This window comes from Homo sapiens, chromosome 4 (genome assembly GCF_000001405.40).
Source record: "Homo sapiens chromosome 4, GRCh38.p14 Primary Assembly".
NCBI classification, from domain to species: domain Eukaryota; kingdom Metazoa; phylum Chordata; class Mammalia; order Primates; family Hominidae; genus Homo; species Homo sapiens.
In genome coordinates, this window is record NC_000004.12 from 128,118,619 (window position 1) to 128,137,630 (window position 19,012).

General features: G+C 38.0%; 1 protein-coding gene across 50 annotated transcripts in view; it reads left to right on the top strand.

The window, feature by feature from the left end:
• Positions 1-19,012, top strand: part of LARP1B (La ribonucleoprotein 1B) — a 162,138-nt gene that overhangs the window by 57,830 nt on the left and 85,296 nt on the right. For 44 of the 50 annotated variants that reach the window (XR_938753.3, XR_938754.3, NR_146772.2 and 41 more), the window contains one exon: positions 3,208-3,570. The exons of 2 other annotated variants lie outside the window; for them this stretch is intronic. Coding sequence is in view for 44 of the 48 variants with exons in the window: in XM_017008340.2 (XP_016863829.1) it covers positions 3,208-3,570 (363 nt within the window). In the remaining 4 variants the exon portion in view is untranslated. Of the gene's footprint in view, positions 1-3,207; positions 3,736-3,863; positions 5,252-6,008; positions 6,871-19,012 lie in introns of those variants that run through there. 4 more of the 50 variants (XM_017008348.2, XM_047415886.1, XM_047415881.1 and 1 more) reach the window with 3 other exon arrangements.

Here is a 19,012-nt window from a genome sequence, read left to right on the forward strand (position 1 = left end):
CTGGTATCTGTTTTCATCTGATGTTGGACCTCCTTGATAGATCATCTAAATACTGGGCCTTGGGTGTTTAAAAAAAGTTCTCTTCTGATATTTTCATTATTTCCATCATTGTTTTGGTTGCTTTTTGAATGCTTTCTTAATATCTGGCGATTTTTGGTTGATAGTTCATATTAATATTAGTAAATATGCATGGTTTTCTTGTTTGATCTAATCTGCTCATCTAGTGGGCTGTTTTGTTTAATGTGAGGTATGATTCCACAGTCTTTTTTTTTTTTTGAGACAGAGTTTCGCTCTTGTTGCCCAGGCTGGAGTGCAATGGCAGTGTGATCTCGGCTCACTGTAACCTCCGCCTCCCAGGTTCAAGCAATTCTTCTGCCTCAGCCTCCCGAGTAGCTGGGATTACAGGCACCCGCCGCCATGCCCAGCTAATTTTTTTGTGTATTTTTAATAGAGATGGGGTTTCACCATGTTGGCCAGGCTGGTCTCGAACTCCTGACCTCAGGTGATCCACCTGCCTCGGCCTCCCAAAGTGCTGGGATTACAGGCGTGAGCCACTGTGCCCAGCTGATTGCACGTTCTTGGTAAGTGAAAACGTCCTATGGACTTGGACACCTAGGCAGAGAATAGGGATGCTGGCTCTTTTTCTCCAAAATTGCTAAAACAAAAAAAGCAGTACTTTTCTCTGGGATGTAGAATTTCTTAGTGTATCTCATTCATTGGTGAAATTACCTTTTCTTTTCCTCCCCCCAGCTCTATTTTAGAGGTTCAGAATAATGCTAGGATGTGTTCAACTTCTGTTCAGCCCCAGTACACAAAACATGAGCCCTCTCTTGTCAAATCTTATTTTGTTTAGAAAGTAATTCTTGGGCTTTTAGTTGGGAGCGATCTTTATATAGTTTTATATTCTGAGATAAAGGGATTGGATTGACTGTTCCAGCTGTGTTCTATAGTTGGTTTTCCAAATACCTATTTTGATTGCCATCCAATAGTCCATTCCTACTCCTTGTAACTGCCATCTCAAAACTTTCTAGAACCCTGGCGGGATCAATGGCTTTTGCTTCCCCTTTAACCTTTGTATCAGTTCTAGGTTGCTGTTTTCTCTGCTTTTGTTTATTATCAATACAATCCCATTTATTTTCTGCTTTCCCGAAAGTCATAAAAGTCTTTGATCTTCTGATAGTAATACTTGTTTTCAGTATTGATGTGGATTTATTGTTTTTATTCTTTGCACTGTGTATTATTACTGCAAATAAGCATGCAAACTTAAGTCATCTTCAACCCCTAATCTCTTAATAATGGTCTTTTCCTCAGAAATTACAAAAACAAATTTAACAGTTTGTTTATTCTCTTAGACTTTTATCATGTACCTGCAAATGTGAAAAGCAATGTATATTGTTTAAAATATATCATCAGTATTTTAAAAAATATATATTCACAGTGTTTTACAACTTGTCTTTTTTTAGTAAAAACATCTTGGGTAGTCTTCTGTTTACTAGAATGTGAGCTCCATCAGGGCATAGTTGTTGTTAAATTTATTGCTGTCTGTCCCTGCCTAGAACAGTGCCTGGCTCAGAGGAAGCACTCAGATAGTTATCGACTAAATGAATATGGATCTACATTATTGGGAATTTTGAAAGGGAGGAATTGTTTTTTTCCTAGACATAGGAAGTTAGCATGAACTGAAGGGTAAAATAGGCCAGAGGACGAAAAATGAATGTAACACCAAGTAGAAACTACTTCCTTCTGTTGGGAGTTTTAAACTAGTTTACATGTTATAAGATCTAGGATCTAAAAGCTTAGACTTTTAATGTAAACCAACAACTGTTTTAAGTTCTTTTTTTTTTTTTTGAGATGGGGTCTCGCTCTGTCACCCAGGCTGGAGTACAGTGGCACAATCTCAGCTCACTGCAGCCTCCGCCTCCAGGGTTCAAGCCTCCGCCTCCAGGGTTCAAGCGATTCTCCTGTCTCAGCCTCCCGAGTAGCTAGGACTACAGGTGTGTGCCACTATACCTGGGTAATTTTTGCATTTTTAGTAGAGATGGGGTCTCACCATGTTGGCCAGGCAGGTCTTGAACTCCTGGCCTCAGGTGATCTGCCCATCTTGGCCTCCCAAAGTGTTGGGATTACAGATGTGAGCCACTGCACCTGGCCTAGCTGTTTTAAGTTCTATAGAAGGGGTAGACAATTTTTTTTTTTTTTTTTTTTTTCTTCAGACAGAGTCTCGCTCTGTCTCCCAGGCTGGAGTCCAGTGGCGTGATCTCGGCTCACTGCAACCTCTGGCTCCCAGGTTCAAGCAATTCTCCTGCCTCAGCCTCCCGAGTAGCTGGGACTACAGGTGCGTGCCACCACGCCTGGCTAATTTTTGTATTTTTAGTAGAGACGGGGTTTCACCATGTTGGCCAGGCTGGTCTTGAACTCCTGACCTTGTGATCCACCCGCCTCAGCGTCCCAAAGTGCTGGGATTATAGGTGTGAGCCACTGCACCTGGCCTGAGGGGTAGACATTTTAACATTTGCTGAATATTAGCATGAATTTGACATGAAAACTGGGCCATGTAGAATGGGGATGAGGATAGAGTAGAGGGATTAGCTCAGAAACTATGTTATTATCATTGTGAGGTAAAAAGGTTCGGAATAGGGAAGACCATTGACTCTGAAAATCAGAAGACCTTGATTCTATCTATCTGTCTATCTATCTATCTATCTATTTATTTTTTGAGACAGAGTTTCGCTCTTGTCGCCCAGGCTCTAGCGCAATGGCGCGATCTTGGCTCACTGCAACCTCCCTGCCTCCCAGGTTCAAACGATTCTCCTGCCTCAGCCTCCCGAGTAGCTGGGAATACAGCAATCCACAACCAGATAATTGGTTCTGTTTATAATTATGAAATCATAGGCAAATACTTTCATATCTCTAGGCCTTTGTTTTAATCAGTAAAATGAATCAGTGCAATGTAATGGATGATTAAGACTATTCCAACTCTAAAAGAGTCTTTAATGTAATCCTTTCTTTATTCAACTTTGTGTTTTTCTTTAGTCTTAAATTTACTGGGCCAAAATAATACTCACTTGATTTTCTTTTACAGTTTGGCTGTTAAACTAGCAATTGAGCATAAAAGCTTGATATTACTTACTTGTAACACTGTTTTATGACATTTAATTTAAAAATGATAGAAAGTTTTTTATATAAATTACCAATTTCTTCCTTCAGGAATCAGTGTCTGTCCCTGAAGGGTCATTAAATCAGCTATGTTCTTCAGAAGAACCAGAACAAGAAGAACTTGATTTTTTGTTTGATGAAGAGATTGAACAAATAGGACGAAAAAACACATTTACTGATTGGTCTGATAATGATTCAGATTATGAAATTGATGACCAAGACTTAAACAAGATTTTGATTGTAACTCAGACACCACCTTATGTGAAAAAACATCCTGGAGGAGATCGAACAGGCACCCACATGTCTCGGGCAAAAATCACATCTGAACTTGCTAAAGTTATCAATGATGGCTTATACTATTATGAACAGGATCTATGGATGGAAGAAGATGAAAACAAACACACAGCCATAAAGGTAATTGTTTCTGGCCAACATCTTTCTACTGATGCTTTGTTTTGATTGTATGTTGCTGTTTATATTTTCTCAAACTTGAGGCTCTATTTTATGAAATGTTGAATATAAATACATTGTATTTAACTTGAAAAATTCCTGGAAATATACCTGATAATTACCACCTGAGGAATCGTTTTATTTTATGAAAGTAACAGCGTGATGAATACTGTAATTACAAAAGAAAATTAGTACTCACTGACTTATACCCTTGTTTTTTTTTTTTTTTGTTTTGTTTTTTTTTGTTTTTGTTTTAGGTGACAATACTGAGAACGCCCTTTCTCGTATGAAAGAATAAAAACAAGTTACTGTGGACAGGCTTAATTTATATGCTCATTGCTTACCTGGCTCTCACCGCAGCTGTATGAGCCAGTGGCTTTAGAGAGCACTCTTCTTGCCTCTTTCTGTTTTCCCCACTTAGTCTATGGTGCATGATCTAAGGTAGTGGAAATGGTTGTGGACAAACTATAAATGACTAAACTGGATGATTATCTCTCTTGGTCTAGTCATTACTGTGGTGCTAGGGTTACTTTTTACAATCTTGTTCTAATTTTTTTTAACTTCTTGCATTTCATCCCAGATCCTGGTTCCTATCCTAGTTATTAAGGTAAAATAGAGAACCAGAATAGTTTATCAGGTATCTGCATTCCTTCAATATGAATTATAATGGTACAGATATGGGGATAAAAGGAATCTTTTTCTGCTATTAAGTTTATCAGAAAAGCCCCAATAGTTAAATATTTGTTTTCAGTAGAGGGTATAATAAGGGAAAATTATATAACATTATATGCCAAATAGGAAACTGATCTTGGTTGGAAATAAAGTTGTAGGAAGAAAAGCTAGCCAATTAGTGGCTGAGTAGAGGGGACTGCCTGTCGGTGGGGCTTCATATCATCAACAAGAAGTGTGCTAGCCTTCTTGGCTCCTCATTTCTTTTCTTCCTGGAATCCCCAGTACTGCTTTTAGCCTTCTGTAACCACTGCCTTCTTGGAGGACCTGCCTCAGGCTATGATAGCTTGTTACGTGACTTAGAGCCTTAGCAGTTCTCTGCCTGTCCTACTGCTGTGGGAAAGGAAGTGTGTTTTTATAATGCTTCTCAGTTGAAAGTCTTTCCTAGTGTAAGCATTGCTATTTTATTTGTAATACTTAGGTTCGGTAAGTAATACCTATCTTAAATCCTTTTAGAACAGAGATACTAGTACATTCTACTAATAATCAGTTAAAATTATCCTTCCCCCATTCTCTATCCCTTTACCCAGCTTTGTTTTTCACCATAGCATATATCATTATCTATAATTCTATATATTTTACTTACTTTTATTCTCTTGGAGAAAAAACTATGGATGTAATACCAATGACAATAGGATTTTTTTCTATTTGTTCATTACTATTGTATTTCTAGTGTTAGAATAGTTTCTGGCACAAAGAAATGTTCAATTCATGTTTGTGGGTAAATAAATTATGGAGTAAACATTATGCATTAACCAAAGGAACCCAACCATTGTGTATAATATTTGTTCTGTGGGAAATGTTTTCAGTCTGCCAAGTAACAAATTTGTAAGCCAACTTGAGAAACATCCTATTTGTAGGTGATTATTTCCTTAAATTATAGACAATAATTAAAAGCCATGTATTGAGTTCTTGAGGCATGTGCTGATCTTATTCATTAAATATTAACGGAAAGTAATCTTGGCTTATATAACTTTAACCATTATAATTGCAGATATGTCTTACTTTGACCTGATTCTTATGTACATTCCCATCATTTAACTCATCCCCTTTGGTTCTGATTCTGTCTTCTACATGTAGTATCTCATTAGACTTGTACTTTTCCTGTGGGTCTGCTTAAAGGGAGAGAAATCAGTCATTTAACATATACTCATTGAGTGCTTACTATGTGCCAGACACTGCTTAGAAACTGGGCACAGAGTGAGAAGGTAACAAATAGGGTTTCTACATGCCTAGAACCTACAGCTAACTGGGGGAACAGACTTAAAAATAAACCCACAATAAGTACTTAATCACAAATTACAATAAATACTCTAAAAGAAAAAAACAGGATGCTATTTCATTGAGTAGTCAGGGAAGGCCTCTGAGAAAGTCAGTAATAGTGAAATCTGAAGTGGAAGTAGGACATAACCAAGCAAAGAGTAGGGAAACAGTATTCCAGGAAAAGGGAACAGTAAATGTCAAGGATCTGGCAGAAAAGATTTTGGTGTATTTGAGGAACTGGAAAAAAGGTCAGTTTGCCTACGGTATTATATAAAATGTTAATTATAGATGAATAGGCAGGAGTCATCATTTATGCGCCATGTTAAATAATGTGGAGTTTATCTAAAGTTCAAATCCAGTACCTTAGGTTTTGCAAAGGCAGTGTGACATCTAATTTTTATTTTTAATAGATCACTCTGGTTGTTTTGGCACAGAATGGATTGTACAGGGACAAGAGTGGGCAGAAGAAATCCAGTTAACAGGCTGTCCATATAGAAGATGAATTGGTCGGCCAAGACAAACAGGTGGCAGAGGAAATATAGAAGTGAGAAGACCTGTCTCATCTGAGCCTTGAGGAATGATTATATAGGAGTTGTATAGGAAAGTGTGTTGTTGTGGAAGTCAAAAGCTGGCTCTAAGAGAAGAAAATAATCAGGTGTGTCAGCAACTTTACAGGTTGAATTAGATAGGAATGAAAAGTATGCCAAATTGATAGGGCAGTTTAGTACTCATTTTTGACCTCTGCAAAAAGAGTTTTGGTGGATCCAGAAGCTATGTTGAACTGGACCAAAGAGTGAGTAAAGGCTTTATTCTGTTTTTGGCATATATTTACTGCTGAAGACTACTAAAATGATAGGCTTATAGGTAAGAAAATATCTGCTTAAAATCTTTGAAGATATGCTAGGTAAGTTATTATCAGGATAAAACTATACAGAAGTGAAGTACTGAAACTTAGTTTTACCCTTAGGACCCTTTGTAGAAGCTACCCAAAACGGGTAAAAACCATAAACTCAGGGACCATTCAAAACTGTGGATTCCCATAGGATTCCTTTTCCCATTTAATTGGTACCCAAAAGTGCACCAAGATCTCACAGATCACTACTAAATAACTTACTCGTGTAACCAAATACCACCTGTTCCCCAAAAATCTATGGGAGAAAAAAGATACCCCAAAAGAATACACTTACAGTGGAAGAACTAAACTTGCTTCCTACCTGCTCCCCAAGGGACTCTGTAAAGAATATTTTTCTGGCTGGCGCAGTGGCTCACGCCTGTAATCCCAGCACTTCGGGAGGCCGATGTGGGTGGATCACGAGGTCAAGAGATTGAGACCATCTGGCCAACATGATGAAACCCCATCTCTACTAAAAATACAAAAATTAGCTGGACATGGTGGCGCGTGCCTGTAGTCCCAGCTACTCGGGAGGCTGAAGGCAGGAGAATCACTTGAACCCGGGAGGTGGAGGTTGCAGTGAGTGGAGATCACGTCAATGCATTCCAGCCTTGTGACAGAACAAGACTCTAACTCAAAAAACAAAAAACAAAAACAAAAACAAAACAGAATGTTTTTCTGGTTGTGCTGAGCAGAATAGAGAGGAAAAAATTGGGCTAGAAGTTGTATTCATGCAACCCAAGTTCATACTCTGGGTGACTAAAGGAAGCACTAGTTGTAAATTTGATGTGATTGTGGTCTCTTAGTTTCCCAGACACCTAGCATATGAAAATAAAGATTTTTTGTGTATGAAAATATTCACCTTTATCTTAGACCTCCTTTATTCACATTATATTGCAAGGAAAGTTAGCAGCACATAAAGTGAATAATCTAACAAGAAAGTGAGATCTCGCATGTGAGAATGAGCAAAAGTAACAGGCAGCAGAAACATACCTTAAAATAATCTTTTTTTTTTTTTTTTTTTTTTTTTTGAGATGGAGTCTCTCTCCGTCACCCAGGCTGGAGTGCAGTGGCACCATCTCAGCTCACTGCAACCTCCGCCTCCCAGGTTCAAGTGATTCTCCTGCCTCAGCCTCCAAAGTAGCTGGGATTACAGGCGTGTGCCATCACACCTGGCTAATTTTTTATGTTTTTTGTAGAGATGGGGTTTCACCACGTTGGCCAGGCTGGTCTCGAACTCCTGACCTCAAGTGATCTGCTTACCTCGGCTTCCGAAAGTGCTGGGATTACAGGCGTGAGCCACCATGCCTGGCCCCTTAAAATAATTTAGATAGTCAGATTATTAAACAAAATATGCAGTAGCTAGGCTTACTGTGTTTAAGGAAATAAAAATATGTGTAGAGAAGAAGAAATCCTAAAGAATAACGATAGAACTGGAAGTAAAAACAATTATGATTAAAATTAAGAACCAAATCAATTGAAGGGATTAGCAACAGATTAGACAGAATTAGAGAATTAGTCAATTGGAAGACTGTTCCCAAGAATTTATTCAGAAATTTCCACAGAGTAGCAAAGAAATAGAATATATGAAAAGAGGATACAGAATGATTTTCTACAGTCTTTGCTATTGGTTGGTAAGTTTTAATCAAGTTTTGTAATTTAACATCTAGTAGATTTTATTATAAAGCTTTTTATTTGTTTTTGTTTTTTTTTTAAAAAAAGGTAAGCAAGAAACTTGGAATATAGGATAACGGAGAAGGTCTAAAATATACATTTAGTCAGAGTTCCAGAATGAAAGGGTAGAGAGAATGGGGCCAAGTCATTATTATAAGAGGCAATTAGGACCTCTACAGAACTGAGGAGAGGTGTCAGAGTTTAGCCAGAAAAAAAAGAGATTACTTTCAAGAAAGAAGAATCATTAGACAGCTGATAGCTAGTTTCCCAACAGTGACAACCAATAGACATTGGAATGATAGCTTTAATTTGCCAAGGGAAAATAACTATCAACTGATAATTGTAGGCCTTGCAAAAATATCTTTCAGTAAGAGTGTAGAATATGAGAAATGGCCACCAGCAGAGTCTCATGAAAGAAAGTCCCAAAGGGTAGAATAAAAGTGATTTTACCTATCAGAGACACAGAAAGGACTGCAGAGCAAAACAAGTAATAAATACATGAATAAACCTAAGTGAATATTAACTGTATAAAGCAATTATTATGTCTTATAGATTTACTATAACAACACAAACTGGGAGAGAGAGCAGTAAATGAATCTAATATTTAAATGTAACTTCATATCTGGACAAAGGGTACTGATTAAAGTTATTAAAGTTTGCAAATTGCAGTTTGAAGGATACACATTTAATTGACAAGGTGATCTAAGTTCATTTGGAAATTTCAGGAATCCATAGTAGTCAAAACACTCTTAAAAAATAACAAAATTACGGCCGGGCACGGTGGCTCACGCCTGTAATCCCAGCACTTCGGGAGGCCGAGGTGGGTGTATTACCTGAGGTCAGGAGTTGGAGACCAGCCTGACCAACATGGTGAAACCCTGTCTCTACTAAAAATACAAAATTAGCCGGGCATGGTGGTGTGTGCCTATAATCCCAGCTACTTGGGAGGCTGAGGCAGGGGAATTGCTTGAACCCCGGGAGGTGGAGGTTGCAGTGAGCCGAAATTGCGCCATTGCAATCCATCCTGGGCAACAAGCGTGAAAACTCGCAAAACAAACAAAAAACAAAATTGAAGGACTCATATTTTATGATTTCAAAACTTACTACAAAGCTGCAGTAATCAAGATAGTGGTGCTGTCATAAGGATGAACATATAGATCAATGGAATAAAATTCAGAGCCCAGAAATAAACATGTCTATTTTCAACTGACTTTGCAACAAATGTGCCTAGACCATTCAGTATGGAAAGAATAGTTGTTTCAACAACTGGGACTCTGTCAACTTGATATCTACAAACAAAAGAAGGAAGTTGGGTCCCTCCCTATCTTACATCATGTATCAAAATTAACTTGAGTTAAATTCATAAATTTAAGAGGAAAAAGTATAAAACTCTTAGAATAAAATGTGTAAAATCTTCATGACCTTGGATTTGATGGTGGTTTTTCATATGACACTAATAGCACAAGCAACAAACAATAAAAACAGGTAAATTGGACATCAAAATTTAAAAATTTTGAATCTCAAAGGACACTATACAGAAAGTGAAAAGCCAGTACAGATGTTCCTCAAATTATGTTGGGGTTACATGCTTATAAACTCATCATAAATTGAAAATACACTGTTAAACTGAAATGTATTTAGTACACCCAACCTACCACACATCATAGCTTAGCCTAGCCTACCTTAAACATGCTCAGAGCACTTATGTTAGCCTTAGTTGGGCAAAATCATTTAAACACAAGGCATATTTTATAATAAAGTATTAATAGCTTATATAATGTATTAATTATTATACTGAAAGTAAAAAACAGAATGGCTCACTGCTGCTGCCCTGCATTGCAAGAAAATATACCACGTATTGCTGGCCTGGGAGAATTTAAAAATTTGAAGTACAGTTTCTTCTAGTAAGTGCCTCTTGCTTTCACAACATTGTAAAGGCAAAACCATAAGTCAAACTATCATAAGCCTGGGGCTGTTTGTACAAAAAAACACAATACAATTTACATTGGCACCCAAATACATGAAATAGTTTATAAATCTGACAAAATATGTACAGGATCTATCTGAGGATTACTACAAAACCCTGATGAAAGAAAAAGGGGCTGGGCGCAGTGGCTCACGCCTGTAATCCCAGCACTTTGGGAGGACGAGGTGGGCAGATCACGAGGTCAGGAGATCGAGACCACCCTGGCTAACATGGTGAAACCGCGTCTCTATTAAAAATACAAAAAAATTAGCCAGGCGTGATGGTGGGCGCCTGTAGTCCCAGCTACTCAGGAGGTTGAGGCAGGAGAATGGCGTGAACCCGGGAGGCGGAGCTTGCAGTGAGCCAAGATCGCGCCACTGCTCTCCATCCTGGGCGACAGAGCGAGACTCTGTCTCAAAAAAAAAAAAAAAAAAAAAAAAAAAAAAAAAAAAAAAATTCAGCCGTGCGTGGTGGCGCGTGCCTGTAGTCCCAGCTACTGGAGAGGCTGAGACAGGAGAACAGATTGAACCCGGAAGGCGGAGGGTGCAGTGAGCCGAGGTCACACACTGCAGCCTGGGCGACAGAGCAAGACTCCGTCTCAAAAAAAAAAAAAAAAGGAATAAGTAAATAAATCGAGAAACATTCCTTGTTCATATTATAGATAGGAAGACTCAATAATGTCATGTCAGTTCTTTCCAACATAACCATAGATTCTGTGCAGTTTATGGTCTTGTTAAATTGAGATGCATTTAGTATACCCAATCAAAATCCCAGCAAATGATTTTGTGGATATCTCCAGAGGCAAAAAACACCTAAAAAACCCAGAATAGCTAATACAACATTGAAAATTGGAAGACGACACTACCTGACTTCAAGATTTACTGTAAAGCTGCAGTAATGAAGGCAGTACGGTACTGGTGAAAGAATAGACAACTAAATCAATAGAACAGAATGGAAAGTGCAGAAATAGACCCACACAGATGCAGTCAACTGATGCTTGACAAAGAAGCAAAGGCAATACAATAGAGAAAAGTCTTTTCCACAAATGGTGCTAGAACAGCTGAGCATTGAGGTGAAAAAAAAAAAATGAATCTTCACCCTTCAGAAAAATTAAAGTGGACGGACCATCGTCCAAAATGTAAAAGACAAAACCATAAACGTCCTAGAAGATGATCTAAGAGAAAATCTAGATGACCTTGGGCTTATCATGACTTTTTAGATTCAATACCAAAACAATCCATGAAAGAAATAATAAGCTAGAATTCTTTAAAATTCAGAACTTCTGCCCAGTGAAAGATACTGTCAAGAGAATGAGGAAGGCCAGGTGCAGTGAGTGGCTCATGCCTATAATCTCAGTACTTTGGGAGGCTGAAGTGGGAGGATTGCTTGAGACCACGAGTTTGAGACCAGCCTGGGCAACATAGTGAGACTGTCTCTACGAAAAATTTTTTTAAAAAAGGAGAGAAGCCATTGACTGCTAGAAAATATTTACAAATGACAAATTTGATAGAGGGCTATTATCCAAAATATACAAAGAACTATTAAGACTAAGAAAACAGAACCCAATTTAAAAATGGTTCACTAAAAAATGGTCGATAGACCAGTTTATTGAAGAAAAAAAGAAAAAACTTGAAAGACCTGAGCTGACACTTCACCAAAGAAGATAAACAGCAAATATGCATATGAAAAGATGCTCAACATCAAATATCATTAGGGAGCTGCAAGTAAAAACAACAATGAGATACTACTGTAGATTCATTAGGAGTGCCAAAATCCAAAACAATAACCAAATGCTTGCAAGGATGTGGAGCATTAGGAAATCTCATTCATTCCTGGTGGCAATGCAAAACAGTACAGCTTCTTTGGAAGGTAGTTTGACAATTTCGTATAAAACTGAACTAAACTAAACTCTTACCAAAGGATCTAGCAAATTTACTCAAATGAGTTGAGATGTGTAGCCACACAATAACCTGAACGTGGATGTTTATAGCAGCTTATCCATAAATTGTCAAAACTTGGAAAAACCCAAGGTGTCTTTGAATAGGTGGATGGATAAACAAGCTGTGGTACATTCAGACAATGGACTTACTCAGAGCTCAAAAATGCATGAGCTATCAAGCTGTGAAAAGACATGGATTCATACAAAGACTGAGTTTATATTGGGTGAAAAAAGCCTATTTGAAAAGACTACATACTGTATGATTCCAACTACGTGGCATTCTGGAAAGGGCAAAACTATAGTAACAGTAAAAAGATCAGTGATTGCCAATGGTTGGAAGGGGAAGAGATGAATGGACAGAGCACAGGTTTTTTAGGGCAGTGACAGTATTTTCTATGATGTTCTGATGACGATACATGTCATTGTACACTTCTCAAAACCCATAGAAAATGTACAGGACAATTTTGATAATACTGTCAGTGTTTTCATCTATTGTAACTAATGTATCACTCTAGTGCAGGATGATAGTGTGGGAGGTTGTATGTGTTTGGGTGCAGAGGGTCTATGGTATACTCTGTACTTTCTGCTTGGTTTTGCTGTGAACCTAAAACTTCTAAAAATACCTAAAGAAAGATAACAGGTTAGGAGAAAATATTTGCAAATCAAAGGAGGGAGGGGCAAAGAGCTTATTTTCTTCTAAAAATTTTTCTTTAAAAAAAGTTTTTACCAGTCTGTGTGTGTTGAAAAATATTTGTAATATGCAAAGAGCTCTTACAAATCAATAAGACAAATAACCTAATTTTAAAATGGGTAAACAAGAGTTCAAGGCCAGCCTGGGCAACTTAGTGAGACCCTGTCTCTAAAAAACGTAAAGATATAAACTAGGCAGGTGTGGTGGTGTGTGTCTGTATTCCCAGCTACTCCAGAGGTTGAGGCAGGAGGATTGTGTGAGCCCAGGAGTTTGAGGTTACAGTGAGCTGTGATTGTGCCACTGCACTCCAGCCTGAGCAATCAAGCAAGTCCCTGTCTCTAAAAAATAATACATAAATTAAAATGGGCAGAGAATTTGAGTAGACATTTCTTCAAAGAAGATATACATGGGGCCAATAAGCACTTGAAAAGTTGCTTAACATCATTAGCCACCAGGGGAATTGAAATAAAATCGTTGTTATACCATGTTATACCCAAAAGGATAACTATAATAAAGAAGACAGATATACTGACAAGTGTGAGGAAAGGGAGAAATTGGAACCCTTATACTCTGCTGCTGGGAATGTAAAATGGTGCATCTGCTTTGGAATACAGTCTGGCAGTTTTCAAAAGGCTAAACATAGGGTTACCATGTAACCTAGCAATTCCACTTTTATGTATGTAATCCAAAGAAACAAAGACATTTGTCCACACAGATGTCATGTTCTTGTACATGAATGTTCATTTCAGCATTTCAAAAAATGAACAGAACTCAGATTTTTATTAACTGATGTTTGGATGAATGTGGTATATCCATACAATAGAGTATTTGGCAATCAAAAGAAATGAAGTACTATTTGTTTTTGATTATTATTATTGTGTTTTGAGACAGAGTCTTACTCTGTCGCCCTGGCTGGAGTGCAGTGGCGCGATCTTGGCTCACTGCAACCTCTGTCTCTCGGGTTCAAGTGATTCTCCTGCCTCAGCCTCCCAAGTAGCTGGGATTACAGGCACGCCCCACCACGCTTGGCTAATTTTTGTATTTTTTGGTAGAGACGGAATTTCACCATGTTGGCCAGGCTGGTCTCAAACTCCTGACCTCAAGTGATCTGCCTGCATCAGTCTCCAAAAGTGCTGAGATTACAGGGGTGAGCCACTGTGCCCGGCCAATTTTTAAATTTTTATTTTTTGTCTTAAGATCTTTTTTCTCTAACCTGCTTCAGAGAAAGAGAAATGAAGGACTAATACTTCATAATGAAGCATTATGAAGACAGTATGTGAAAGGAGCCATCATAAAAGACTACATATTGTAGAGCAGCGGTCCCCAACCTTTTTGATACCAGAGACTAATTTTATGGAAGACAGTTTTTCTGTGGACTGGGGGGCATGGTTTTGGAATAATTTAAGCACATTACATTTATTGTGCACTTTATTTCTGTTATTCATTATAATATATAATGAAATAATTGTGCAATTTATCATAATGTAGAATCAGCAGGAGCCCTAAGCTTGTTTTTCTGCAACTAGATGGTCCCATCTGGGGGTGATGGGAGACAATGACAGATCATCAAGCATTAGATTCTCATGAGGATCATGCAACCTAGATTCCTCGCATTTGCAGTTCACAATAGGGTTCATGCTCCTATGAGAATCTAATGCTGCCACTGATCTGGCAGACGGTGGAGCTCAGGCAGTAATGAGAGCGATAGGGAGCAGCTGTAAATACAGATGAAGCTTTGCTCACTTGCCCACCCACCACTCAACCGTGGTTCCTAACAGGCTACAGACCAGTACTGGTGAGTGGCTAGGAGGAAATGTGGAGTGACTGTTAATGGTTACCAGGTTTCTTTTGGAGGTGATAAAAATGTTCTATAGTTGATTGTGGTAATGGTTGTGAAACTCTGAATATATGAAAAACAATTGAATTGTATACTTCAGTGAATTGTACTACATGTGAATTACACATTAATAAAGCTGTTATGAACAACAAATAAATGGAAAGTCATCTCATGTTCATGGATGACTTAATATTATTAACATGTCAGTACTATCCAAAGTATCTACAGCTTCAGTGCAATGCCTATGAAAATCCCAATGGCATTTTTTGCACAGTTAGAAAAAGCCACCCAAAAAATTCACGTGGAATCTCATGGGGCCTTGAATAGTCAAAACATTATTATTGAAAAAGAAGAAATTTGGAAGCTTCAGACTTCCTGCTTGTTACAGTAATCAAAACCTTGTGGTACTGTCATAAAGACAGACATACGGACCAATTGAATAGACAGTCCAGAAATAAACCCTTAAGTATATGGTTAAATGATTTTTTTTTCTTTTTTGAGACAGAGTTTCGCTCTTGTTGCCCAGGCTAGAGTGCAGTGGTGCGATCTCAGCTCACTGCAACCTCCGCCTCCCAGGTTCAAGTGATTCTCCTGCCTCAGCCTCTCGAGTAGCTGGGACTACAGGCCTGCACCACCATGCCCGACCATTGTTTGTATTTTTAGTAGAAAGGGGGTTTCACCATGTTGACCAGGCTGGTCTTGAACTCCTGACCTGAAGTGATCCACCTGTCTCAGCCTCCCAAAGTGCTGGGATTACAGGCGTGGGCCACTGTGCCCAGCCCAATTTTTTTTTTTTTTTTTTTAAGACAGTTTCTCACTCTTTTGCCCAGTCTGGAGTATGGTGGCATCATCATGGCTCACTGCAGTCTTGACCTCCTGGGCTCATGCAATCCTCTCACCTCAGCCTCCAGAGTAGTTGGGACTACAGGCTCACACTGCCACACCTGGGTAATTAATGAATTTTTTTTGTGTGTGTGGAGGCAGGGTCTTGTTATACCTGGTTTCAAACTCCTGGCCTTAAGCAATCCTTCCATCTTGGCCTTGCAAAGTATTGGGATTACAGGTGTGAGCTACTGAAGCTGGCTGGGTAAATGATTTTTTTGACAAGTGTATCAAGACCACTCAATGGAGAAAGGATAATCTCTTCAACAAATGATATTGGGAAAATTGGGTATCCACATGTAAAAGAAGGAAGTTAGATCTTTACCTTATACCATAAATGAAGATTAATTAACCTAGATTAAAGACTTAAACATATTACATAAAATTATAGAACATTTAGAAGAAAGCCTTTGGGGAAGGCCTTCATGATCTTGGATTTGGCAGTGGTTTCTTGGATATCACACTAAAATCACATGTTACAGAACAAATGTAGACAAATGGAATTCTTGAAAATTAAAAATTTATGTGTATGAAAGGACACAGTTAACAGTAGGCAACCTATGGAATGCAGAAAAATATTTGCAAATTATATATCTGATAAGGGATTAGTATCCTGAGTATATAAAGAACTCCTACAAATCAACAAAAAATATAACCTGATTTTAAAAATGGACAGAAGACTTGTGTAGATAGTTCTCTAAAGGTGATATGAAAATGGCTAATAAGGCTGGGCGCAATGGCTCATGCCTGTAATCCCAGCACTTTAGGAGGCTGAGGTGGGTCAATCACTTGAGGTCAGGAGTTTAAGACCAGCCTGGCCAACATGGCGAAACTCCATCTCTACTAAAAATACAAAAAATTAGGGTTGGTGGTGCATGCCTGTAATCCCAGCCATTCAGGAGGCTGAGGCAGGGGAATCGCTTGAACCCCGGAGGTGGGGGTTGTGGTGAGCTGAGATCGCACCACTGCACTCTAGCCTGGGTGACTGAGACTTCATCTCAAAATAAATAAATAAATAAATAAATAAATAAATAAATAAATAAATAAAAAGGATAACAAACATTTGAAAAGATGCTCGAAGTCACTACTCAGAATAGAAATGCAAATAAAAAAATCAGAGGATTATCACCTCACACTGATTAGGATGGTTACCATTTAAAAAAACACACAGAAAATAGTTGTTAACAAGGATTTGGAGAAATTAGACCCTTGCGAACTCTCATGTGAATGTAAAATGGTGCAGCCCTTATGGAATACAGGATGGCAGTTTCTCAAAAAATTAAGGATAGAAATATCATGTTATCCAGCAATACCAATTCTAGGCATATATCCAAAAAAATGAAGGCAGGATCTCTAAGAGGTATTTGCGTGTCCATGTTCAGAGCAGCATTATTCACAATAACCCAAGAGGTGGGAGTAAGCCAAATGTCTTTCAGTGGAGGAATGGATAAACAAAATGTAGTATATACATAACAATGGAGTATTATTCCACCTTAGAAAGGATGGAAATATTGCTGCAACACGGATGAACCTTGAGGACTTTATGCTAAGGGAAATATTCAGTCACAAAAAGACTCAGTCGAAGTATGTTTCCACTTATAGGAGATAGCTAACTAAAGTGGTGAAGTTTATAGAAACAAAGTAAGAAGGTAGTTGCCAGGAGCTGAAGGGAGGAGAGAAACTGGGAAAGTGTTGCTTAATGGGTATAGGGTTTTATTTTTGCTAGATGAAAGTTTTGGAGATCTATTGCACAGCAGTGTGAATATATTTAACACTACTGAATTGCACACTTTAAAATGGTTAAGATCGTAAATTTTGTGATGTGTTTTTTAACATTATTAAAAATTATTTTAAAAATCCAACTACATACCAAATTAAAAAAAAAATAACCAAAAGAAAACTTAATACACATAGGCCAGGTGCGGTGGCTCAGACCTGTAATCCCACCACTTTCGGAGGCCAAGGTGGGCAGATCACCTGAGGTCAGGAGTTCGAGACCAGCCTGGCCAACATGGCAAAACCCCATCTCTTCTAAAAATACAAAAATTAGCTGGGTGTGGTGGTGCACGCCTGTAATCCCAGCTACTTGGGAGGCTGAGGTAGGAGAATTGCTTGAGCCCAGGAAGTGGAGGTGGCAGTGAGCTGAGATTGCGCCATCGTACTTCAGTCTGGGAGACAGAGCTAGACTCCATCTTAAAAAACAAATAACAGTCTCAAGAAAAACAAAAAAACAAAAAAACAAAACAAAAAACAAAAAACAAAACTTACATATTAGTAGCAGATGGAAGACTTACAAAGTTGACTTAGAGATAAAAAGCATTACTAGTGTGAAAGTGTCATATAATGATAAAAAGTGAAGTTTATCAGAGGAGATAACTTCAAATTCAATGTATTTAATATTAAAGCTTCAAATATATGAAACAAAAGTTGGTAAAACAAATCCACTGTTGTAATTTACTCTCTAAGTGATTTACTCTCTAAGTAAACAAGGCATAATCAGACAATAAAAAGTAATTTCAGAAACGTTTTGCCTAAGAATTGCAGAGCATTGTTCTTTTTTAGTATATACATGGTACTTAGACCTCCACTGGTATATAAAGTGAATTCCAAGGCATTTATATTACACAAAGCACATTATTAGTGGAATTAAACTGGTGATTTTATTTGTTAATTTTTAAATATTTTTGTAGAGATGAGGTCTCACTATGTTGCCTGGCTGGTCTTGAACTCCTGGCCTCAAGAGATTCTATGGCCTTGCCCTCCCAAAGTGTTGGGATTATAGGCATGCCACACTGCACCTGGTCAAGCTAGTGATTAATAATAATAATATAAGTGAACGTAATAAATTCCCATATTCCCCAAAACAATGATATGTTTTTAAATTAAACAACTCAGCATTCAAAGAAGAAATTAATGGAAATTAGAAAATATGAATTGAATGGTAACTAAAGTTAAAAAGTGCAGCTAAGGCAATAGGCTTAAATGCAAATATTAGGAAAAACACTTGAAATTAATAGTCCAATTACCAATATTATCTTGACTTTAATTAAAAAAACTCCCCCGACAGGTTGCAGTGAGCAGAGATTGTGCCACTGCACTTCAACCTGGGCGACAGAGCAAGAGTCCATCTCAAAAAAAAACAAAAAACAAAAACTCCCCCAATTCTCAAAGACAGAGCAAAAGCATCTCATTCATGTTACCTGATATTGGCTGTGGGTCAGCTATTACAGCTCTGTATATTTGGTTCTTCTCCAATTGTCTTCTCATTTGGGGATTAATTCCAAAACAGCAGTTCCTATACATTACATGCTTATTCATGTGGCAGAGGGGAAGAACAAGAGGCAGAGCCAAATCTTAGTTATATTTGATGTTGCTGCTTATATGTGCTTTATGTGCATTTTTTATATTCCATTGACTATATGGCCAAGCCTATATAGGCTGGGGAATATATATTTTTTCCTTCCATTTGGTATTTATTTTTTAGTGATACATAATAATTGTATATATTTATGGGATACATGTGATATTTTGAT